We start from the raw sequence: 27,329 nt of genomic DNA on the forward strand, positions 1-27,329 counted from the left end.
CTTCCTTGCAAGCTTACTAGTTAGTCTACTGCAATTTCATGGATGCTAACAGAAGGTACAAGATTCCTAGGTCAGAGACAGGGGACTTATTACTCACAGCAATAAGAGTAGCAAGACTGTCAGCATTTGTATCAGTTTGCTGAGCCCCAGTTCCCACAGAGCAACCCAGAGGCCAGATGGCAACTGTATATGCAGTCAAATGCATTACAGAAGAACAAACCTGAGTTTAGGGAACCCAAATTTCTTATAGCAGGCAGTGAGCATGCCTACCCATACTCCTAAGGGAGACACGGTTACCATATTCCAAGGATATCTACTATACAAACATCCTTCAAAAGACAGTCTACATGGACAATATCTTTGATTACAAGATGTGCAGAGCTGTGAGAGCACTCTCAAGAGAAGCCATTTAAAAAAATGTGTGTGCGTGTATCTCTCTCCAAAATTTCACAGCTTTCCAATACAGTTTAAATGGCAAACAAAATATGAAAAAGTATTAGCAAATGACAAATTTGATGTCTTGTCAAATAACATTTGTCATTAGAAAAATAAAACAAATATAAGATTAATATCCTTAATATAGTTATTATATATTAATTAGGACAAAAGACAAATATAAAAAATAATGAGTAGGTAATTCAAAAAGGCAGAAATGTGAATGATTGATGAATACATGAGCCAATATGTTCACTAGTTACTTTTTAAAATGCTGCAGGCACTGAAGGTTCTATTAGTGAACAAAACAGACGACATTCCCTTCCTCCATGAAGCTTACATACTGGAGGGGCAGACAGACAAAAAATAAGAACAAGCAGTAAAATACATCAAACACAAAAGCAGCTAGGAATGACATGTGGGCGAAGGCCTCCTGAGAAAGAGACTTTTGAGTAAAACTGATAGGAAGTGTGTCTGTTTAAGGGAAAAAGACAACAGCGGGAGGCGGCCTAGCAAGTTAGGGGAAAACAACAAGAAAGCCAGTGAGGTAGAAATAGAGAAAAAAGGGGAAGAGTGGAAGGAGATGAGAGTGGAAGAAGAAGAGAGGTAATAGAAAATGAGATGGTATAATGCCTTGTAGGTATTTACGAACCAAGATATCTCTGGGGGGTTCTGAGCAGGGCAGTGACACGATCTGACTAAATTTTTTTTTTTTTTACTTTTTAATTTGTATTTATTAATTTATTTTTGAAACAGGGTGTCAGGCCCAAGCTGGAGGGCAATAGTGTAATCATGGTTCACTGCAGCCTCAGCCTCTCCGGCCCAAGCGATCCTCCCACCTCAGCCTCCCAAGTAGCTGAGAGGCGCACACCACCACACCTGGCTAATTTTCAAAAATTGTTTGTAGACACGAGGTCTCAGTATGTTGCCCAGAGTGAGCTCAAACTTCTGAGCTGAGGCGATCCTCCCACATTGCCTTCCTGAAGTTGCAGGATGACAGGCATGAGCCACCGTGCCCAGGCAGTCAATGACCTTCAGTGAAGGACACGTCAGAACTCAGCACCTGGAATCACTATGAGGGCTCTTTGGAATTTTCTTTTCTTTTCTTTTTGAGGCAGTCTCACTCTGTTGCCCAGGTTGGAGAGCAGTAGTGTGATCTGGGTTCACTGCAGCCTCTGCCTCCTGGGTTCAAGCGATTCTCCTGCCTCAGCCTCCCCAGTAACTGGGATTACAGGTGCCCGCCACCATGCCCAGTTAATTTTTGTATTTTTAGTAGAGACAGGGTTTCACCATGTTGACCAGGCTGGTCTTCAAACTGAGCTCAAGTGATCCTCCCACCTTGGCCTCCCAAAGTGCTGGGATTACAGCGTGAGACACCACACCCAGCTGACTACATTTTTATAGAAACAACTCTACTGCTAATACTGAATGCTGCCTGCAGGGGCCAGGGCTGAAGCAAGGAGAATGATCAGGAGGTCACAGTAACGATGAGAGATGATGGAGGCTTGAATCAGGATAATGACAGTGGTGCTGGTGAGAAGTGGTCAAATTTTGAATATACTTGAGGTGGATTTGATGACAGACTGGAAGCAGCGTATGAGAGAAATGATGATTTTCCATTAACTGGGATGAGGAAAACTGTAGGATTTACTATTTTGGGAAACATCAAGAGCTCCATTTTGGACATGACAACTTTTAGACACCTATTAAATATTGACATGGAGATGTCAATCAGGCAGCAGAATATATGTCTGGAATTCAGAGACTAGGTCTAGATTAGAGGTATAAATTTGAAAGCCTCGAGCACATAGATGGTATGTAAAGCCACAAGAATAAATGAGATTATTTATAAAATTTGGAGAGATTTGTTTTAAAATTAGCACTTTTAATTACCTAGTATTGGAAAATGTATAGGGACTATTTTACTTATAGTAGACACATTTAATTTGGAAATATAGAACAATATTAAAAATGAGTCTCTCTTTTGACCATACAGTTAAATATATCCTAAGAAAACAGATAAGCAAAAAAGACTCAAAGAAATTATGTTTTTATTTACAATAGTAAAAAACTGGAAGTAGCTATTGGAAGTAGTGTATATATTACATATAAAATAAAAAATTATATATATGCTAAAATATTAACTCCAGTTATCTTTCAGTTATGAGATTACAGGTGATTTAAATTTTTTTCCTTTTGTGCTTTTCTGTTTTTCTAACTTTCTATTAGAAACAAATACAACTTTTTAACCTTCCAAATAAACTTTCTGTTGTGTTTAATAGAGGAGGTTACTCGGCCTTGAAAGCAGTACTCACAGTTTATTTTTCATTTGCAACTTTAAAATCTAAAACTATTCTAAAGTAATTAAAAGTAATAAAACACAAACATCTAGGCTGCAAAAAAAACTGCATTTACTCTGCAAATAACATGTGCCAAACTTATTTAAATGTTTTCCTTAAAAATCCAGAAAATAATGCATTAAAAATACATTTCTTAACTATTAATAGAATATGCTAAGATACAAATTTAACTTTATGACTTTTATAGTCTATATAATTTAAAATTAATTCATCATTTTATCAAAAACTAGTTTATAATATCTTTCTAATCCTTTCTCTCTGAAGGATTTCAAGAAAATAAGAAAATAAACATAATAAAATTGCTTTCTCTTTCCAAATAGAGCAATTTAAGCATTCATTCAATAAATATTCATTGAGAGTTAAGTATATGTCACACTTTCCCTGGGCAACCTGTATGTACACAAAGATAGGAGTTTACAAGGAGAGATTCATTGAGAAGACTTTGGGAGGAAGTAGCATTTGAGCTAAAATTTAAAGGAAAGGTAGGATTTAGATACTGAGAAAAATGGCATTCCAATGTGTAAGAACAGGAGAACTATAGGAGTAGATGCAGAAAACATAAAACAATTGCAGAAAATGAGTATTCATATTTGGCTACAGCTCAGAATAACTAGAAGACTACATTCCCTAGTCTCCCTTGCAGCTAGGCAGGGGTCAAGTGCCTAAGTAAGTAAAAGAATCAAGTCATATGGGAATTTTGGGGAGGCTCCTTAAAGGGGAGGAAATTTTTTAAAAAGGGAGGTAATGCATCTTTTTTTCCTCCATCTTGTTGCTTGAAACTTGACTATAATGGCTGAAGCTCCAGCCTCTATTCTAGATCATGAGAATGAGGGTCATGACCTAGGGATGGCAGAACAGAAAGCTAAAAAGCTAAAGAGCCACATCAGCTTTGAAGTGCCAACTCTGTACTTCTTCTACGTAATAAACATACATCTCTATCTTACTTAAGCCATTTAATTTGGATTTTGTTATATATGGTGAAGTTGAATCTTAACTAAGACTTGCTGAAATATAAAAGAAACTTCCCTAGTGCTGCTAGTGTATTTTGTTTTCTGGAATTTTCCAATACAATTTCTGGCAAACTTTACATAACTTAAAATGTGAGACAAATCAAATTTCTAATTATAAAATATGAACAATATTGTGTCTAGTATTTTTTCCTGTCTTCTTCCAAATTCTATTCTGGCTCTGCCACTAATCTAGTTGTATGATCCTGGCCAAGTTATTTAATCTCTCTGAGCTTCAAGGTATTCATCCATAATTAAGAAAAGTATCTTTACGATAGTATTGACATGAGAATTAGAAGTAAAAAAAGTAAAGTACTTATCAAGTGCCTCCTACATTAATGGTAATTGATAAATAGTAGCCATTACGGTTGCTACTCTCCAGAGTCATTTACTAAATGACTGATGTATTCTAGGCACAGTACTAGGCACTAGAAGTAATGGAAGGATAAAACAATCCCTGGCCCTGGTATGGATGGATGGAGGGAAGAAAAGCCCTCAGAGGGAGACAAATTATACAAACAAGTAAGTGTAATGAAATTCTACCTGCAAAATTAATATAGAGAGAATAAAACAGAATGAAAAATGGGAAGATTAGTAATGTGCCCTATCAGAGAGAATTTCCTAGGTTTAACTTCTGCTGGAGAACTAAACACATTGTAAAATCTCCCTTCATTCCCAAGACCAAACTATTATAAAGGAAAAAGAATGTTTGTAAGTCAACTTAATAAAAATAACAGACCAGGGGCTATCAAAGGACAAAATATTGTTAATGCTTCTGGAAAACTGATGACTGACTAATGAATCAGGAGTGGATTTAGCTAACGAGGAAGTTCATCTATCTGTAGAATCTAGAGAGGCACAGGGCTAAAGGCAAGAGTGAGACCTGGGTTTGAAAAGGATTAATTCAAAGTCTGTGACTAGAACAGCTAACTACCACTACCCTCCACCCCCTGCTCACACACTCAAGGCAGAACACCTGGAACTAGGAGTTTACTTCCCAAAAAACAAAGATAAGAAAAGTCCTTCTCTAAAGAAATTGAATGAACTGTTTGGGAATAACAGAGGGACGGTGCTGGCGACCCAGAGCAAAGACGCATGTATTTTGGCATTTTTAGGAGCCACCAGTAAACTGCTAGTTTCCCAACAGTTGAGAAAAGTGAAGTGAAACCAATCTAGTGGCAAGAACCATCCACATATCCATTTAGTTTTCTCCTGTTTCGTTAGTCTTTTTATTGTCTCATTTGTAAATTTTTAAATGTCACCAGACTTTCGGAAAAAGAGTATCACGAGAGAGATCTAAAATTTTTTTATATTAAAAAAAGGAAGAAAAAAATTGGGTTGGGCACAGTGGCTCACACCTGTAATCCCAGTACTTTGGGAGGACAAGGTGGGAGGATCGCTTGAGCCCAGGAGTTCAAAAGCCCAGGAGCCTAGGCAGCATAGTGAGACCCCACCTACACACACACACACACACACACACACACACACACACACACACATACACATACACATACACACACATTCACACACACAAATTAGCTATGGGCTGTGGTCCCAGCTACTTGGGAGGCTGAAGCGGGAGATTGCTTGAGCCTGGGAGGTCAAGGCTGCAGTGAGTTCTGATCGTGCCACTGCACTCCAGCATCAGCAACAGAGCAAGACTCTGTCTCAAAAAAAAAAAGTGCCAATTGGAAACAATAAATTGAAACACTGAAAAAAAAAATGAAAAAATTCTTATAGGTATTTTCAGATATTTGATGAAATGAACACTTGGGGAATACTTTTTAAAATTCTTGAAAATTAAACTTTTAAACGAAGGATTAGGAGATAAAAACCAAAGAAATCTGCCCCCAAAATTGAACAAAACCCAGAAATTGAAGACAGAGTATCAATCTAGGAGGTCCAACAAATCAATAATACAATCAGCAGTACACCCAGACAGAGAGACTGGAGAAAATAGAAAGGGGCAGGAGAGAGAGCATTACCAAAGAAATAATATAACAGAATTTTCCAGAGGTAAAGGACATGAGTCTTTGGATTTACAAGGTCTACAAAGTACTTAGCACAAAGGACTGGAAGACACAACTAGATGTGTGTGAAGTTTCAAAACACCAAGGATAAGGGGAATTTCTTGAAAATTTCAAGAAAAATTAAAAATGTCACTACAGAGGAACAAGTATCAGAATGGTGGCAGATTTTCTCTCCTAGCAACTCTGACTTATGGAAAACCATGGAGCAAAGCCTTCAAAGTTCTCAGTAAAAATTACTTTCAATCTAGGTTGCTATACCCAGCTGAAACCATTAATCATAATGAGGACAGAATAAAGGCATTTTTAGACATGTAAGACTATTTTAATGTTTACTTCTAATTTTCTCTGTCTTAAGGGAATATTAGTTGCAGATATATTCCAGTAAAAAGAAAAGGAAACACGATGTGGGTTCAAGGAAACATTGGAACCAGGGTAGCAGTCAAGAAAATTCCAGCATGGCATCTAGGCAGCAGGCCTAGAGACCAACCCATTCAGATTGAAATAAGAAGACAGAAGGCCCAAAGTAGAAGAAATCTGGGGAAAATAGGTTCTTCAGAGAATAGAGATAGGATGAAGAATTTCAAGAAGGGAAAAAAAAAAACAAAACAACAACAAAAACAAAAACAAGACAATGATAAGGGCAAAGAGTACAACAAGCAGGGTTTTTGGAAACTCCAGGAAAAATTTAAAAGTTGTACAAGAAAAAAACATTTATAAACATATTACTTGACTGTGTAGTGAAAGAGCAATTATAAGTCATTGCTATTAATGTTTAGAATCAATCTATAAAAAGAGCACTTCAGGTTATATAACAAATTGTCAATTTAACAACACTGGCAAAGTGAACGTGGGGAGAACAGACAAAGAACAGAAAATATCCTTATTTTCCAAATAAAAGGTGAAGATATATAATCTGTCCTATGTTTCACATTTCTGTCAAGTGAACCTCATCTTAGTATTGGTAAGCAGGGGAATGATGTATAACAAAGAAGCAACTTTTGTTCAGATGCCATTTTTTCTAGCTCATTAATTGTCTGAACCATGTAAAAAACATCAGCTGAATACAAAGTGCACAAACACAGCTGAACACGGCAAGCCACAGAGGTACACAGCACTCTACATAAAGCCCATATACTCCAAAATACACTAGCAGCACTAGGGAAGTTTCTCCTCCTCTTTCTTCTCTTTGATCATGAGCCCTATCTTGGAAGTGCTTATTGTATATTGCCCTTAACATTCATATCTTATGTCCATAAAAACCTTAACTCTTTTAGCTTCCTCTATCAAACTACCTTCACTTATTTTTTTGAAAGTATAAAGTTATATGTTTGTTGTATTATTTACTAGGAATTTAACATGTCTTTTAGTTGTATTAGTATTTATATTATCAATTATGTTAGTGCTCGACTAATTAGAAGGTTAATATAATTGACTAAATTTGATAAACCAAGGAGTATAATATATAATTTACAGATATGCAGATAACTATCAGAAGAATAAAAATAGAAATTGTTTAGAAATTTAAAACTAGCTCCTCAAAGAGTTACAAATTAAAACCATAGATAACATTTTTACCTGCCAAATTAGCAAACACTACAAATCAAAAACACATTTTATTTCCTGTGCTGATGAGGTATAGAGAACTAATGGCAGTATGAGTAATAAAATACCTTTTCAGAAGAAATGTAGCAAAGCATATCAAGAACAATCAAAATGTTCATATTCTTTGACTCAGTAATTCTACATGGGAATCTAAGCTAAAGACAATACAACAAAAAGTTTATGTATGAAAATGTTCATCAGAGCATTATTATTATTAAATGTTAAAAACATTGGGAATAACCTGAATGTCCAACAAATAGGGAATCACCTAACACTTCTACGTTGACTATATATTACAAAGTAATTTAAAAGGATGCTTATAAAGAATTTATATGTTATATACATAAATCTGTTTCCATTTTAAAGTGAACAAAGCAAGATATTATTTTAATAACAACTACGAAAAAACAGAAATATTACAAAATATAGTTATCTCCAAGGAATGTGAGGTCAATGATCACTCAGTTCTTTTCTTTTTATATTTCTATAGTTTCCAGTTTTACTGTAATGAGTATATATTCTTCACTCAAAAGATAATACTGAATAAATTGTCAGAAGTTGGAAGAACTATGTTCACTGAATAACTGAACTTCTTTTATTAAGAAAACATGAGTAGTTCATATTGCTTGAAGAACCATAAAGGACTTACAAAATTTCTTGAAGGAAAAAATTCTAATTCAGAATATCACAATGTCACTGCTAAAAAAAAATGGTATTAAGGTACACTGCAATTTTGATTTTTTAAAATCTTTCTTAACAAAAAGTAGCCGAAATAAGTGCATTACTAAATACATTAAAGGTGAGAAAAGAAGACCTTGCTACTTCCTATAACGTATATCACTTAGATTCCTATTTCCTCCACTCACTCTGAATGACCACAGCCAACAGGACTGGCAATTTCAAGTCCTGCATTTGAAACCAATCGAGTCTTTCCACCTGGAACAAAACAGACTTGAGATTTGTGAGCCTAGCTTTGTCCCATTGGTCTAAAGGAGACTGAAACTCAACATCAAGATGAGAAAAGTTACAACTTTGTAAACCTACAAAGGGAAAGAATCTTTTTGGCTTAGGCAATCTGTTGCCTTCTGTAATATATAATACACAAGCTTTAATTACTATACACTGTACTGCATAACACTATGTATCTCCCACAAAGACAGATCAGTACGTAGCAAACAGATTGGCTCCTGAGAAAATATGCTAAGACCTACAATGGATAAAATTCTCTTTTCAGGCCACAACATTTTAGACCTACATAGAAAGAAGGGTTTAGAAAGGGTAAAAGAGATTTGGATGTATCTCAAGTTTCCATCAGAAAAATAATCTTTTAAAATAACAATTCAGAACCTTAAAGCCTGGAATGCTATCATTTTATTAAAATAATTTCCTTTGGTGATGATTTTTAAATTGTGTATATTTTTTCTCATAAACATACTCATTTTTAAAAACCCACTGCAAGCTTTATATAATGCATAATTCTAAACAGCCAGTAATTATGTTTCCAAGAAACAAGTGCATTTCTAATGCAAAACAAACAAAGAAAAACAAACCTTAAATCAAGAAAAAAAAAAGCCTTAGACCTTCACTTCTCTTTTAATATTAAAGATCTTTTCTCTCAAGGACCACAGAATATATCTGCAATATCTCTTAGGAATTTAACATGTCTTAAGGACATCTTAATACATAGAATAAATGTATTATCATTTAGTTAATTCTAAATATCATTTAGTTAATTCTAAATAGAATTAAACTGTTATAAATACAACAAAACAATGTTAGATGCTTATATTACAAGTTTCTCTAAAATGTACTCTATGCTACTAATATATTATTTATCCTGTGCACATAAACTTTATTTCATGGTTTTAAAAGGTTCTTTTCTGTCTTCTATTTTCTGTCCTCTAAAAGTATTATTATGGAAGTGAAAATGATGCCATCATCTTTCAAGTTCCATCTGGTTGTATGTATCTCTGGTTGACTGAGAACTCAAATATCTTTTTTTCTCAGAAAATTCAAAAGCTTCTCCCCTGTCTCTCCTCTGGTACCTATGGAAAGCAATTACCCCTTGGATATGAGTAAGTTGGAAAATTCTTTCTGGTTATGAAGCAGCCAAGAACATACTTTCTGGTTTCAAACAGACCAGGCCTGAGGTTATATCCTATTGTAACCATGACATCTAGAAATAATCTTATGTACTAAAGTTAATGTAATTTGGATGATTCATTTAACTGCAAAAATGCATAGTAGTTTATTTTAAAAGTTGAGGCAAAGAGACAGTCAACTTCATAAATATTATTTAGTACTGCTGAAAACATAATATCCTGACAAGCATAGAAGACAGAATTATACAAGAGCACTGCTCTAAACATACTCTTTCTTCAAGCTATTTCTACTAAGTAGACTATGGTCATTACACAATACATGCCTGCTCAAACACTCATACATAGTACCTTTAATTTTGTATTCTCAAGATTCAGAGTTTCATTTTCATATTCAATTGAGTGAACTTTTCTAAGAATTTCTTCACATGAATTTTTTCCATGGTCTTCCATTTTCTTCAGATCTTCCAAAAGATTAATGATTTGCCTTTATAAAATCAATGACACATTTTATAAAAGTCATAAAAATTTTTATTCAAATAACACATTTTAAGTGTGTTTCTGAAATCACTTTGGCCGGGTGCATCGTTTCAAATAGGGAATATACAAAAAATAAATAGAACTCATAGAACAAGAAAAATAAGAAGAAGTAATCTAAAAGGGTACAACCAAAGTAACTCTGATTAGAAACAATTGCCCACTGATGATACCAACAAAAAATTATACAACATGCTCTTTGCTATTCAATAAAACTTCTAAACTATTATCCACAAGTATGCACATCTCTCTCTTCCTGTCATTCATACACATGCACACATATATACACAATTTTAGGGACAAGGTTAAAGAAAAGAATTAAGTGAGGCAATAAAACTAAACTTTAGAAATGAATTATATATGGTAGTTTTCAATGACAAAACTGAAGACACAGAAAACACTTAAAATCAAATATTCAGGGTTCATTATAGTGTTATCAGTAATACATTTCAAATAATAAAATATATGTATTTTTATTTTTCATTTTCTTTGTTATGCATTTAAGTCACTTTAAGGAACAATCATTTTTACGATTTTCAAAGCAGTTATTATAAACTTTTAGATATATTTTCACACATTCTTGTTTAAAAGAGAAACATCACCTCCATTTAAGAAAAAGTAAATATTAACATTTACTACAAATAATAGATGGCATACTGAAATATTGAATGATAATCTACAAGTTTAAAATTTCAAAATGTGGGCCAGGCGTGGTGGCTCACGCCTGTAATCCCAGCACTTTGGGAGGCCGAGGCAGGCGGATCACAAGGTCAGGAGATCGAGACCATCCTGACCAACATGGTGAAACCCTGTCTCTACTAAAAATACAAAAAAAAACAGCTGGGCTTGGTGGTGCATGCCTGTAGTCCCAGCTACTAGGGAGGCTGAAACAGGAAAATCACTTGAACCCAGGAGGCGGAGGTTGCAGTGAGCTGAGATTGCACCACTGCACTCCAGCCTGGCAACAAAGTGAGACTCCATCTCAAAAAAAAAAAAAAAATTAAAAATGTGAACACCAATTCACTTTTAATGAGCAATCATTTTAATTATTTTTAATAATAGAGTAAGAAAACTTTATTGAATTATAAATAGCAAAAATATCAAATCATATAGGTAGCACCTTTACCATATGTAATCTAAAAAAAATCAAAATACAAACAACTCAAAGAATTTTTTAAAAAGTGAAAACTCTTACTAAATAATAAAATATTCTAAATTTTTTCTTACTTTTTCATTGTTTCAATCTGTACTTCCAATTCGGTTTTTTCTATCACAATTTTCTCATAATGACTTTTCCAGGCATTGGAAGCTGAAATTGTTTCAGACAACTTGGCTTCCTAAAAAATACATAAAAGTATTCATACTATAATTTTAAAACATTTTTGTTTTGTTCAGATCTCTAAACACAAATACATTATAAACAGGGAAGCAATCTTCCAAAAAGTATGGAACTTCAAATATAGAAAACTATACATGCATGTTTATAGCAGTGCAATTCATAATTGCAAAAATATGGAACCAGCCTAAATGCCCACCAACCAATGAGTGGATAAAGAAAATATGGTATATATCCATCATGGAATACTACTCAGCCATTAAAAGGAACATCTGCAGCAACCTGGATGAAGTTGGAGACAGCTATTATAAGTGAAGTAACTCAGGAATGGAAAACCAAATATCGTATGTTCTCACTCATAAGTGGGAGCTAAGCTATGAAAATGCAAAAGCATAAGATTGATATAAAGGACTTTAGGAACTAGGGAGAAGGGAGGGAGGGAGGTGAGGGGTAAAAGACTACACATTGGCTACAGTGTACAGTGCTCGGGTGACAGGTGCACCAAAATGTCAGAAATAACCACTAAAGAAGTTGTCCAGGTAACCAGAAACGACCTGTCCCCTAAAAACTATTGAAATAAATAAAGTCACTGTACAACTTTGAATAGAAAAATTGTAAAGTAAATATCTATATTGCTATTATTTCATATACACATAGTGGAAGTTTCAACTTAAATTTTAAAAGATGTTGCAACTATTTTTAAACAATATTTCATAATTAAGATAATTTCTTTTCTTTTTACTGAACTTTCCATTTTACTTTTTTTTTTTTTTGCCCTGGCTGAAGTGCAGTGGCACGGTCATGATGGTTCACTGCAGCCTCCAACTCCTGAGTGCAAGGGATCCTCCTGCCTCAGCCTCCCTAGTAGCTAGGGCTACAAATGTCTGCCAACCACAGCCACCACATATATACACATGCATATATAAAATATATCTAGATACATATGTATATACTATATATATATGTTATACATATATATTGATATATATAACTACTCTATATATATGGTGTATATACTATATACTGTATATATATAGTAGAGACAGCATCTTGTTATGTTGCCCAGGCTGGTCTTGAATTAATTTCATGCTCTATAGAGAGAAGATGGTAACAAACACATAAGCATCAGAGGAGAAAGCCCCTGTGATATACACAGAAACTATCCCCAATTCCACAGCTCCATAACATTTGGTGATGTACCTTACTTGTCTTTGCTATAATGACGCCAAGATCTATTTTGTAGAGGTCACCCCATCAGCCTTCAAACACTGCTACCGTCCACACAGAGATACAAGTGGTAGTAGTGGCTTATTCATTTTGAATGTGAACTCCCATGAGGTAGGGATTTTTATCTGCTTTTGTTCATGGCTATATTTCTAGGGCCTTGATAGTGCCTGGAGCACAGCAAACACTCAATAAATAGCTCAAATAATTCTCTGCAGATCCACCTAAAGAGCTGTAGCCACTGTGCCTCCGCTCTACATTCTACATAAAAACACACTGGAAGGCCACAATGCCAGTAATTACAAATCAAAAAGCTTAGAAACAGTAATGACAACAATTAACATTTATTGGGTACTTCTTTCTTTCATCATTCATCCATTTACTGAGCAAGTATTTACTGAGCATGTATTACGTGCAAGACTTTTTTGTTTAAATTTTTTCACAGGAATATTTTGATATATTGAAGACTAGTATTGTTTTCATATTTTGTATAAAATAAGCTTTAATATAAATTATGAAGTATAAGTTTATAATATAAATTAAGATATTTAGAAGTTTTATCAGTAAGAAAAGAATTTATATGTTAGCAATATAATTATTACCTACTTCATCAGTATGGCATTCCTAGATGTTGAAACTAGTCAGTGATGGAATCACCTTCCTAGAGATTTTTTGAGTTGGCCTACCTTTTCTCTTTGCTTTAGAGAAATGGCACATCTAAGCCACGAGAAGCAAAATTAGGATCTAATTTTCAAAGAAGGAAATGGGTTAATTCTTCAGTGTGCAGAATTATAGAGCATTTAACATCCTGGCCCCTAGGTACTAAAAGTCAGAATCAGTGGTCTCTCGTACTTTCCAAATCCCCATTTCTCCTTTCATCTCTCCTTATAACATGCAGATAAAGCAAAATACCCCTTTTCACCTTTCCTTCCACTGCATTGAAACTGCATGTGAATTAGTAACTAGTGACCTTCTAATTACCAAAGACCACAGACGTTTACAAATCCTCCTTGTCCTTGATCTGTCTCTGTAGTCCTTGGCAAAATTTACGCATTGTGTAGATATGTGATAACATTTTGTTAAACTATTATTTAGCTCTTATTGCTGAACTGTTCATATTTTAGACTTAAGGTACTGTTTTAAATAATGGTACCCTTACCTTAGGTGAATAGGATAGCAAGCTCCTGCCTTCTGAGACTTATACTCAAGTAGAAGGAAACAGTTAAAAATAAAACAAAACACAACAGCAGTGATAAATGAAAAAATAAATGATATAGTTTCAGATTATAGTGAATGCTATGAAAAAAATTAAGACATTGATATGATTGTTTTAGAACTACTTCAAAAGAAATGGTCAAGAAAGGCCTCTCTGAAGAGATGTCAATTGAAAAGATACCTGAATGATTAAAAAAAGAAAGAGCTATTGTGAGCCAGGGAAGAATATTAAAGCCAGATGCAACAACAAACAAGAAAAACAACAAAACAAAGAAAAAAACTTCATGCATTACAGCAACAGAAAGGAGGACAATGCAAAAATATATTTTCTCATTTATCTCTCCCTACAAACACATGAGATAGGGAGTATTATGATGCCCTATTTTATACATGAGGAAATTGAAGAGGTTAAGTTCCTTATCCCAAGTCACAAGGTTAACAAAATACTACTTTGTTTGCCATAAACTTTTTATACAAGTCTGTTTTCATTTCTAAAAGCCTCTAATAATTCTATAAGCCTTAACATAAGTTCTTAAGAGGCAGGATATCAGTGAGACTTTTTTAAAAAAATTATTAATTAGTAATTGAATAAATATAATAATTTATCAAAAACAACAAAGCACTAAGGCCATTTTCAAATTTGTACTATACCAAAGATATATTTTACTTGGTGTGTTTATGTCAGCACATGGTTTTAAATGTATTACAGAGATTAAATTAGGTTAATTACTGAATAAAGTCATAGGGTCTAATAACATAAATCAGCATTTCTCAAACTAGTGTTCCTCAGAACCAGTTCCAAGAGTTGCTTTGTGCATAAAAGACTAGCTCTGTGGTTAAAAAAGTGTGGGAAACTCTTAGTTCAATACCCTTCATTCCACTGTTTCTGAAAGCCTTCTCAGAACCTTTAATTTGCTAACATAGACCACAATGTCCCAAGGGGAAATATGTATGAAGTATTACCCTTAGTTAGTTGGCCAATAGAACCTTTTTTTGTGTGTGGAGGCGGGGGGGACACACTTAATATTTCCTTTAAGTAAAGTTCCCAAGGAAATGCTGATATATTTCAATATGAAAATTTGACATTTTATGTAATATTTCAAAGTAAAAGATTAAAGCAAAAAGTGTAAGTTTTTTCTGGTATTAACAGCATTAAGAAAAGAATAAAATTACTATATTAAGCATCATGATATTAATTATATAAACTACGTACATAATAGATCTTTTAATTTTAAAAAGAATGCATTTACATACCTGATCTCTAATTTGGGAAGTAAGCTTTTCAATAGCTCCTGTAAAATGGTCAAGCCTTTGTTTGTAAACTTTAGATGCCTTTTTTAAAGCTACAGTTTTTTGCCTACTTGCTTCTTTCATCACTATAGCCTCATTCTTATTCATTCTTGATTGCAGGTTCCACTTGGCTATCTTGGTTTCTAAGCTCTAAAAAAAAAATTAGCAACAATTAAATTATTTCAGAACTCCAATGTTTATGTAAACATTGTAAAAATATGTACATAACTGATATGGTTTGTGTATTACTCCATTCTCACACTGCCATAAAGAAATACCCTAGACTGAGTAATTTATAAAGGAAAGAAGTTTAATTGACTCACAGTTCCACACGGCTGGGAAGATCTCAGGAAACTTACAATCATTGTAGAAGGCAGAGGAAGAAAGGACCTTCTTCACATGGCGACAGGAGACAGAAGAGTGAGGAGCAAAGGGGGAAGAGCCCCTTATAAAACCATCAGGTCTCACGAGAACTCACTCATTATCATGAGAACAGCATGGGGAAAACCACCCCCATGATCCAATCACCTCCCACCAGGTCTCTCCCTAGACATGTGGAGATTATAAGGATTACAATTCAAAATGAGATTTGGGTGGGGCAGAGCCAAACCATAGCATTCTGCCCCTTGCCCCTCCTAAATCTCATGTCTTCACATTTCAAAACACAATCATGCCTTTCCAACAGTCCTCCAAAGTCTTACTTCATTCCAGCATTAACCCAAAAGCCCAAGTCTAAAGTTTCATCTGAGACAAGGCAAGTCCCTTCTGCCTAGGAGCCAGTAAAATAAAAAGCAAGTTAATTACTTCCAAGAAACAATGGGGGCACAGGTATTAGGTAAATGTTCCCATTCCAAATGAAATAAATTGGCCAAAAAAAAGGGGGCTACAGGACCCATGCAAGTCCAAAATCCAGCAGGGCAGTCATTAAATCTTAAATCTCCTAAATAATCTCCCTTGACTCCATGTTTCACATCTAGGTCATGCTGATGCAAGGAGTGGGCTCCCACGGTCTTTGGCAGCTCCAGCCTTATGGCCTGCAGGGTACAGCCCCCTTCCTAGCTGCTTTCCCAGGCTGGCACTGAGTATCTGTGGCTCTTCCAGGCACATGGTGCAAGCTGTCAATGCATCTACCATTCTGGGGTCTGGAGGACTTGTGGCCCTCTTCTCACAGCTCCACTAGGCAGTGCTCCAATGGGACTCTATGTGGGGTCTCCAACCCCATATTTCTCTTCCACACTGCCCCAGCAGAGGTTCCCCATAAGGGCTCCACCCCCGCAGCAAACTTCTGCCTGGACATCCAGGCACTTCCACACATCCCCTGAAATCTAGGCAGAGGTTCCCAAGCCTCAATTCTTGACTTGTGTGCACCCACAGGCCCAACACCACATGGAAGTTGCCAAGGCTTGGGGCATCCACCCTCTGAAGAAATGGCCTGAGCTATGCATTGGCCCCTTTTAGCCACAACTAGAATGCAGGGCACCAAGTCCCAAGACTGTACAAAGCAGCAAGGCTCTGGGCCCAGCCCACAAAACCACTTTTTCCTCCTAGGCCTCTGGGCCAGTGATGGGAGGGACTGCCATGAAGACCTCTGACATACCCCAGAAACATTTTCCCCATTAATATTCGGCTTCTCATTATTTATGCCAATTTATGCAGACCACTTGAATTTCTCCCCAGAAAATGGGTGTTTCTTTTCTATTGCATGGGCAGGCTGCAAATTTTCCAAACTTTTATGCTCTGTTTCCCTTTTAAATGTATGTTCCAATTTCAAACCTTCTCTCTGTGAATGCATAAAACTGAAAGCTTTCAGAATCAACCAGGTCATATCTTGAATGTTTTTCTGATTAGAAATTTCTTCTACCAGATACCCTAAATCATCTCTCTCAAGTTCAAAGTTCACAGATCTCTAGGGCAGTGGCAAAATACCGTCAGTCTCTTTGCTAAAGCATAGCAAGAGTCACCTTTATTCCAGTTCCCAAGAAGTTCCTCATCTCTATCTGAGACCACCTCAGCCAGGACTTCATTGTCCATATCACTATCAGCATTTTGCTCAACACCATTCAACAAGCCTCTAGGAAGTTCCAAGCTCTCCCACATCTTCCTGTCTTCTTCTGAGCTGTCCAAACTGTTCTAACCTCTGCCCATTACTTAGTTCCAAAGTCATTTCCACATTTTTGGGTATCTTTATAGCAATACCCCACTCTCTGCAGTACCAATTAACTGTATTAGTCCATTCTCACGCTGCTATAAAGAAATACCTGAGACTGGGTGATTTACAAAGGGACAAGTTTTAATTGACTCACAGTTCCACATGGCTAGGGAGGCCTCAGGAAACTTCAATCGTGGCAGAAGGTGACAGGGAAGCAGGGACCTTCTTCACATGGCAGCAGGAGAGAAAAGAGTGAAGAGCCAAGGGGGGAAGCCCCTTATAAAACCATCAGATCTCACTCACTATCATGAGAACAGGATGGGGGAAACCACCCCCATGATCCAATCACCTCCCACCAGGTCTCTCCCTAGACAGATGGGGATTCTGAAGATTACAATTCAAGATGAGATTTGGGTAGGGACACAGCCAAACTATATAGGTTTGGATCTGTGTCCCTACCCAAATTTCATGTCAAACTGTAACCCCCAGTGTTGGAGCTGGGGCCTGGTGGGAGGTGGTTGGATCATGGGGGTTGTTTCTTATGAATGGTTTACAGCATCCTCTTGGTGCTGTTCTCCTGATAGTGAGTGAGTTCTTGCGAAATCAGGTTGTTTAAAAGTGTGCAGCACCTCCCTACTTGCTCTCTCTTCCTTTTGCTCCCACCATGTGAGATGCCTCACTCCCCACTTGTCTTCCACCATAATTGTAAGTTTCCTGAGGCCTCCCCAGAAGCTGAGCAGATGCCAGAATCATGCTTCCTATACAGCCTGTGGAACTGTGGGCCAATTAAACTTCTTTTCTTTATAAACTATGCAGTCTCAGGCATTTATAACAATGTTAAAATGGCCTAATACAATAATCCTCTACACATTGGGGACCAATGCTTCTCTATAACCTGTTAAAGGATGCAAATTTAAAACATATAATCCTATATCAAACTAATGCTACCATTATCAAAGATACTATAGTGATTATGGTACAAACACTAACTTCCTTAAAACTTCTGTGATTAACTCAGATAGTTTTTTTAGTTCACATCTAGAATATTATACATCATACTAGTTTTAAAAACTAGTTTAAAAAAACATAATTGAGCTAGAAACAATCCAAATATGTACCAATGTTCAAAGGAATTGGTAGCTCCCCAAATATATTAGGACTCTTCACTTTGAAAGACAAAATCTTAAAGATATGATTATAATCTTTAAGAAGGCTATAGACGAGATAAACAGATTTTTTTACCAAATTTTAATTTACTAGATTTAGGGGGCACGCCCTGACACTAGAGTTACATTAAAGATAATAAAATACTGCTTTATCCAATAAAGTAAATGTATGGAAGTCATTATTCCAAGACCAAACACAGGTTTAGATAAATTAATGACTATAAGAGTCATAAGATAAGTATTATTGAGGACATGTTTCTATCATTGAATGTGATTGTAACTAATTGGCATGACTATCTCTTTGGCATACCTCTTGGTGACATGATGAGAGACGGAATATTAGGCTGGGTAGATGAGGGATGTGATTTAATGTGGTAACTCAGATGCTTTTATTTCAAATTATTTTAAGACTGTGTACTTAAAGTATTTGAGTATTAAGTATCTATTAAAGACTTATGATTTTAATGTTTTTACATTTTCAAAACCTGTGTAATACTGAAATGAATGTGAAATTATCACAGAATAAGTTTTAGTCTCCCATTCCTTAGAAAGCCATTTTAATTTTTAAAAATTGCAAAGGAGTCACAGTACAAGCTAAACCTAGGACTTTTCAACTTAACTCTACAATCATCAAAATCTAAGCTTCTTAACTGCCACTAAAATTGAGATTAAGAAGTATATATTAAGATTTAGATTTGATTTTTTTGAAGAGTGACTAAGTAAACTAAGAGAAGGAGCAATACATTCTTAAATTGTTTTTAAAAAACAAAATCCCATAAAACATAAGTAGCTGGGGAAAAACAGCAGTACAGTAAGTCGACATAAGACAAAGGAACATCCCACAGGAAACACTGTTGTCATTCCTCTAAAAGTCCACACGGTGTCATCATCACACCATGAATAGTTGCTTTCTTAGGTTAAAAAACTTCTAAACATAGAAACTAAATTTTCTTTTTGAACATAGTTCCAGACACGATCTTCTCACCAGATTTATCAAATCCCACACTTATACACTATCAAGGAGTATACTGAAATGACAAATTATTTTTATAATTTAAAAATAACCTCTCATTTGCCAAATGAATGAACACATAAAGCTGATTATCTTCTTTTTCTATCTCCAAAGCAATGTCTGTATACATGTCACATTTTATACAGACAATCATTCTCAGTCTCTTCTGAAAATAAGAAAACGTTCTAATTCTAATTGCTACATAACAAAGATCTAGAAAGAAAAATTGGTGGAAGGCATCTGTGGGATGTTCCCAGAGGTTTATAATGTAAATTTTTAAAAGACTCAATACAACAAATTACTCAACACTAAAAAGTTGAGATTGATGTTGCCAAATTGAGTTCATTGGATTCATACTCAAAAAAAAAACAACACAAAAACGAAACAAAAAAAAACCACTGTCAAACCTAACTCAAAAAGAACTAAATTCTGAACCCCTTAATCACTTAATGCCTTAAATCCAAAAGTGTGTGAGAGAAAATGTAGAAAAATTCATAGACTCAGACAGTTTCTTTTAATCATTTCTTAACAGTAGCATTTTGGTAAAAGAATTTGAATTCAAATTATAGTTGAATTTCATAGCAAAATTTTAGGATTTTAGCCTTATGTTCTTTCTCCAAATTATCATGGTTATAAAAAATAACCACTACGCTTTAAGATAAATTGGGAAAGATGATTATCTAATATGTTCAATCATACATCAGATGTATTCAATCACATGTGTTCTCCTGTATTTACTATGACAGACCACTGCAATACCAAGTCCAGTTCATCTGCAGTGCCCTAGCATACAAAATTTATTATCCCCCATAAACCCGCATTATGTCCCTTTAAAGGAACACACACACACACACCCAAACTCGAGTATGGTTTTGAAACATGCTACAGGCTGCAGACATCTGCTATAATTCAGGAGTGCAAAACCAAACAGAAATCTAACTCAGAAGTCCTCAACACTCAATGGAGTTTGAGTCTCTGTAACCTCTCAAGGTGGGAATATTGCTTCTTTGCCTTTGGCGGAAAAAAAAAAAGAGTTACCTTATATTGTATGATATGCCACCTCAAATTCTTATCTCAAAGTGACTTTGACTCCAAAAGAATAATTAAACCAAAAAATTCCCCTTAATTATACTCCTACAAAGTTGTTTAATAAGGGAATTACTTAATTTTGTGAACATCAAAGTTGGGCTGATTTTAAAATTATTACGATTAGTAACAAAAAATAAACATCGTATTGACTGTTAAACGTGTGAAAGTATGTATGTATATATGTATAGATGGAGAAAAAAGATTGAAATAATGTACACCAAAATGTTAACAATGATTTTGGTATATTTAAATTTATTTTCTATAAATTTTCCACAGTAAATATAAATTAACTATAAAGTGGAAATGATTTTTAAAGTAATTCAATTCCATAAATCCTTCCTAGATTGGTATTAAACAGAGACAGCATTTTTATGTTGAAATTTGTACCCAAACCTTTAGTTAGGCCACAAATATTAAGATTTACCTTAAATATGTATTTCCCATGTCAACAACTGTGTATTTTAAAACCACCAAATTCTAGAACTAAGGAAGGCTTTATGGCCTTTCATTAATTTTATCACTTAAGCTATAAAAATGGATATATATTTATATATAACCTTTACATATTCTTTCAACTTATCGTTCTCGGCTTCCCTTTTATGAATTTGGATCTGTAGTCGTTCATGTACTACTTTTACTGATTGGGAAAAACGGTTTGCTTTCAAAGTATTTGCCTGTAACAAAGAGAAAGAGAAAACCAAAAAAATCCATATTATTTGCTGTATCCCCAGCCCAATATCTTTAATTTTACCCTGATTTAGGCACAATCTAAACAGCTGATAAAAAGCAAAGCACTACTTTACATAAACTGCCGCCCCTATTACAAATGTATTTCATGCCCAACCAGGGCTAAGTTTTATCCCCCAACATTTTTTATTTAATGGCTTTCTTTTTTAAAATTCCCATCTATCTTTCTAAATAAAGGTATGGGTATACCTAAAATGCTCCTACAAACACTAAAATTCCTTAATTTGTTCCCCAACTGAAACACAATACAAATTTAAAACAGTTCCTATATGAAGTGATTTATGCCAAGTATCCTGACAAACACCATAAAAACCCTAAAAAAACTTAATAAAATTAAGATGTTATATTTGATAGGTAAAACCTGTAAAATATCCAAATAATCTAGAATTTCAAAACACTTTTCTGTGTTTATTTCTGAGGAGTTGGGGCCAGGATGGGAAAAAAAAGGGAGTCAATATTAATATAATGAATTAAGCTCAAAAGCTCAAATTTTGCTTACCTTTTCACTCTGAAACAAACAAGAAAGTTCTTGGATATGGGCCTCCTTTTCAAATACCTTCTTCTTAAGATTCTTGAGCAAATATAAAATAAGAATTAGGAATTTCACAACTTGGATAATATTGGCTAACTTTATAAAACCAAGCAGCATGCAAATAACAATGACAGGAAGAATGGACACAAAGTAAGTGTGGAAAGACTTACAGTATTTTCACTTTCATTATCAGTTAGATTTTCTAGCAACATGCTGGATAAATTGTCTCCTGTCTGAGAAAAGAATGTTATAAATCAGTGATCGCAAATTATATTTCTCTATATAAAAAAGTAGGAAGTGAAATAAGCACTACTCAATAAATTAATATGACTTTTAATTCAGATTTTTAAAAGAGTTAACAACTGAAAAGATTTTTGCCCTAGTATTCCAAATTATTTTTGGTCTGCAATTTATGAAATTAGTTAATTTACTAAATTAATCTCAAAAGAATGCTTCAGAAAGTATAGGCCAATGACACTAAACTCACAAAAATCCTCTATACAAAAGAAGTTTGTATAGAGTTTGTATAGAGTATAGAATGCAACACAGTGCTGTTTACAAATAGGCAAAAATTATCAACAATCTAAATTCTAGCAATAAGAAATCTCTTAAAGAATTACAGCAAATCAGTAACAGAATTCTATATAGCCATTTTAAATGAGATCATAGAAGACTATTTACTCATTTTTGAGAGTCATACTTCTGCTTTAGAATGTGAAAAAGCTATCAATTCTTTTCACCCAAAACCACATATATATGTACATATAATGCAAAATTGTACACGGAATTTCAGAGGGTACATGGATTTCATAAAGGTCATCCTTGGATCCATAAGTGTTCAAAGAGCTCAAGTTAAGATTCCTTTCTATTCAAAAAATATTCAATACATGAGAAAATATTGATGATACAGTGTTAAGTATAAAAGTCCAGTTACAAAACAAAGATAGTAGTTTTACTCCATTTTTCTAAAACACCACGTATATATGCACACGTAACATATATAAAGAAACAAAATACTGCAAAATGTACACAACATAAAACTAACAGTTCTTAATAGTGATGTTTCACTAAGTGCTGAGATCAAGAGAATATTTCTCTGCTTATCACAATTTTCTATGAGCATGTAACTTTTTAATTACAAAAACTATTACCTAATATTAGATAGTTTTTACAATTCTGAAATAATTTTTATCATAGGAAAAAGCCAAAAGGGAGTCAGAAGAATAATTTAGGTGATTTAAAGGGATAAGCTTTCTTTTTGGAGTGATAAAAATGCTTTAAAATTGACTGTGGTGATGGCTGCACAACTCTGTGAATACAATGAAAACCACTGAATTTTATAATTTAAATGGAAGAACTGTATGGTATGTGAATTCTATTTCAATAAAGCTTTTACCAGATGAAGAATATATAGATATGTATAAATATAATGTACAAAGATCTTAAACTCAAAAAGTGTATATTTTATTAGAATCAGCTCAATTAAGTATGACAAAGTTTTTGAGATGAAAAATAAAAATACATTTTCTATAAAAACGTGGTGTTCATATACAACTACTTATGAAACACTAAAGGTGGGGATTAATGACTGACAAAATTCAAAGCATTATTTCCATTTCAAATATACCAATAATTTCTACAGTTTAAAAATAATGTATCCTTCAAATGAGAAATATCACTATTAAAATGAGTGCTTAGTGTTGATGCCTTACTTGTTTGTAGTCTCTCTTTCTAAGAAGATGTTCTAAAGCTAGTTTTACACTTTTGAAGGTGTCTAATTCTTTTATTAATATTTCCTTCTGTTCAGAAATCTTCAAATTCAATGCAGAAAGATTCGCCTGACAAATTATAAGAACCACATACACATTTTAAGACACAGCATTAAATAAAACCCTCTAAAATATATTATCAAACAATATTTTTTCCTACTAAACAAAATCATTCTTTTGTGCATAGTAATAATAAATGCTACGAAATTTGTCAATAGTAAATTGGATCTGTTATACAGTACATTAAAATAAAATGAAATCAAAATAAGAGCTTAGATTCTAAAAGCATTTTAGGCTTTTATTCAAATAAAAGTTATAGAAGATAATCTACTGTTTGTCCCTAATTTAAACTTTAATATGCTGAAATTTAAAAATAGTTATCTACTCCAAATAATACTATAGAAACAGATATATTTCATCTCTCAGAAGATTTTAGTTTAAAATTCACTCTTAAGAAAAGCTGATTTTCTAGTTCAACTCCGGGTAATTCAAACATCCAAAATATATTGTTTCTAGCTTAGCCTCTTATCAGGTGTATGCTGAGATTATCTTTCAGGAAAAGAACTGTAGTTAATGACACAGGAATAAAGAATTCTGATAAACCCTCATTTTTGGTATGAAATACTCATAAGTGAGCATACCTATATAAGATATGAGACCTCAGTTAATGCATTCTGAGTATTATACTAGCTTTTCATTTTATTATATATTCATAAGTCACTCACATTTTCAAAATTAATCTTTTCAATGGTGTCCTTAAATAGTGGCAAAAGCAATTCTACAGAATGAGTTACCAACTCCGCTTCCTTAAGTGTTGCTTCCAATTCAGTCTTTTCATTTAGAATGTCCTGCTTCAGGCTAATTACAAATGCACATACAAAATTTAAGTTAAATCCATTTCATTTAAAGATGCTCCTCAGAAATGCCATATCACCTATACAGTACTCTTAATAGCAAGGACAACTTTTAGTTCAAAAGTAGCTCGAAACTTGGACTTTGAGTGTAAGCAAATTTTAAGAATACTTTATTTTACTTATATTTTACTTGTACGTAATCACAAAAGTTATTTGGATTAAAGATGTACGTATAGTTAAGTTTGAAGGAGCATTTTCAATATTTATAAATAAAATTCCAAGTGATATGGAAACTCTTTAATTGGCAGCTTTTCTCTTTCTTTGTAAAACATAACGGCTCATTAACAACTGATGGCATCTTAGAGGCTATGTCAAAAATCTGTGTGTTCTTAAGCACAACTGGCTTAAAGTAATGAGCCTAAGAACATTCTATCTATAAACGACACCTGTCCCTTATTAAAAACCATGGGCAGAAAGTCAAGTGTGATTATAGATGATAAAATATTATTTTCATTCATAACAAATTCAACCAGAAGCTGGACTAAGCTATCCATACTGACAGTAATGGTATATACTAAGATTGCCATTTGACGGGGGGCAATATTTCATGTAAATAACAAGTGTATTCCCCACTCTAAAGAAGTATGACAAGTATTTGCTATATAGTAATATACCAAATGACAGTGATTTCACATTCATTAACTACATTTCTGATATCACATATTATATTTTCATTTATCTTAAATAGCTTTATTTTACAAATTCTTAACAGATGAGGTTTTCATTTTTTTTGTCTTTTTCTTTTTTGAGATGGAGTCTCGCTCTGTCACCCAGGCTCTGTCACCCAGGAGTGCAGTGGCATTATCTCGGCTCACTGTGACCTTCGCCTCCCAGGTTCAAGTGATTCTTCTACCACAGCCTTCCAAGTAGCTGGGACAACAGGCACACGCTACCACATCTGGCTAATTTTTGCATTTTTTCAGTAGAGATGGGGTTTCACCATGTTGGCCAGGCTGATCTTGAACTCCTGACCTCAAGTGATCCACCTGCCTCATCCTCCCAAAGTGCTGGGATTACAGGCATGATCCATTGCGCCCGGCCAGGTTTTCATTTTTAATTGCTTTCATTAAGATTCAAAAAAACTAGTTGAATTCTGCTAGATGAGTACACTTGTAATCAGATTAAATATATTTTAATAAATAAATACTAGATTTGGAAAAGATACTCTTAAAAGAATGCTGTATTTGATTCAAATAATTTATATTATAGACAAAACAGGAAATCCTAGAATCGGAAATTTAGATTTCCCCTGATACTGATGAGAATACCAGCTGAGATGACTTTCACTGGTACACCGTGGTAAATCTTCTTTCTCTGATATAGTTTTAAGATGGCAAAAGAGTTCTTCTGAATGACTTCCATCATTTACAGCCTTCTCCATAAATTCAGTAAATGGATTTATAGGTGGCTTCACAGCGACTTCTCCACATAAGCTGAAAGCTAGGAAATATTTTAGTTATTAAATTTATTTCAATAGAGTTTTTTTGTCATTACTCTCTCATAAAAAATAAAGGTTATAAGGATGTGTAAAAGAATAACATTTCAAAGACAAAATAAGAAGTATAACTGCTACTCATTGTTATAGTACTTCAAAATTGTATCAAAATTTCATAGCACAACCACTCAACAATTGCCAATTTCCATACACTGTTTCCAAAAGGCCTGATAATTCCTAAATAATCACAAGAGTGTAAAAATCTTTATTAGTCTATTTCTTGAAGTATTACAATATTTGAACCCAGCAGGACTATAAAACAAATATAAAAACCATGGGTTACCTATAGTCTGTCTTATTAGGCCCATGCCATAAGAAATGTATGTTATTTATGCCTAAATCTGTAGAAATTCAACTTTTCAAAGTACTTGGCAACAATAGCTACAAAGGATAGGATACTCAATTGCAAGTAGACTTTTCAAAATTAAATTCACTTACTTCTATTCCCAACTCAATCTAGAATATTATTGGTGATAGTGAAAAGACCAGACAGATGACATTACTTCCAAATTTTACCAATCTAATTGTTTTTACTCACACCTGTAGATGTCACTTTAAAAATGTGAATATTAATTTCTTCAAAACTACTCCAATTTAAGTAATGAGTTAGAGCTTTGGCAACCATTAAGGCTCTCTTTTCCCAACTCTAACAATATGTGGTAATGTCTTCCCTGACTTCATTTTATGTTTACACAAAATCAAAGGTTATATTTAAGGTTTTCTACATTTTTTTGGATATTTACCTCCTTGTAATTTAGTTTTATATGTCTGTATTACAAAACATATTATATTCAAGAATTTTTAACACTTAGAGTAGAAGTGAAATTACAGGTTGAAGATTATTTAAATTAGCCATTCAGAAACCTTCCAAAGTGTCCATAAAATGTATATATTTTATCTGAATGTTCTATATACTATAGAGACAAATATTTAGGAAACAGGCCAATGAAGTATGGTCACATTTTTTAAATACCAGAAAGTGAAGTCCAAAAAGAACTGCTGAGTAACCAACAGATAGTCTAGGATGATTCCCTTGAATGCTGCAAATATGCAACATCTATTACAATGGTATAACAATATTTCGAGCTATCTATAAACTAGAAGAATTACAAGTATACAAAATAAAATAAAAAACCAAACCTAAAAGTTAAGAAGAATATGCTCGGGATAAGTCACTGCAATCAAGAGAACCATCATCTACTAATTCATTCAGTTGCAATAGCTATCCCCATACAGAAAGCAACTGGTACCAACCCTTTTACTTGTTTAAATATTTGTCATATTTGTCTCTCTGTGGACTGGAATCTCAAGAAAGAATGTC

General features: G+C 34.0%; 1 protein-coding gene across 35 annotated transcripts in view; it reads right to left on the reverse strand.

The window, feature by feature from the left end:
- ODF2L (outer dense fiber of sperm tails 2 like) overlaps positions 1-27,329 on the reverse strand; it is a 49,487-nt gene that overhangs the window by 14,297 nt on the left and 7,861 nt on the right. For 7 of the 35 annotated variants that reach the window (NM_001184766.2, NM_001366781.1, NM_001395521.1 and 4 more), the window contains exons 2-10: positions 25,782-25,953; positions 24,325-24,457; positions 23,543-23,668; positions 22,001-22,063; positions 21,798-21,869; positions 21,109-21,225; positions 15,100-15,285; positions 11,298-11,407; positions 9,885-10,020 (exon numbers count right to left, since the gene is read on the reverse strand). In NM_001184766.2, coding sequence (NP_001171695.1) covers positions 9,885-10,020; positions 11,298-11,407; positions 15,100-15,285; positions 21,109-21,225; positions 21,798-21,869; positions 22,001-22,063; positions 23,543-23,668; positions 24,325-24,457; positions 25,782-25,894 — 1,056 coding nt within the window. In that variant the 5' untranslated portion in view covers positions 25,895-25,953. Of the gene's footprint in view, positions 1-7,502; positions 7,590-9,884; positions 10,021-11,297; positions 11,408-15,099; positions 15,286-21,108; positions 21,226-21,797; positions 21,957-22,000; positions 22,064-23,542; positions 23,669-24,324; positions 24,458-25,781; positions 25,954-27,329 lie in introns of those variants that run through there. The other 28 variants (NM_001395535.1, NM_001366779.1, NM_001395537.1 and 25 more) reach the window with 16 other exon arrangements.

Source organism: Homo sapiens, chromosome 1, assembly GCF_000001405.40.
Source record: "Homo sapiens chromosome 1, GRCh38.p14 Primary Assembly".
NCBI classification, from domain to species: Eukaryota; Metazoa; Chordata; class Mammalia; order Primates; family Hominidae; genus Homo; species Homo sapiens.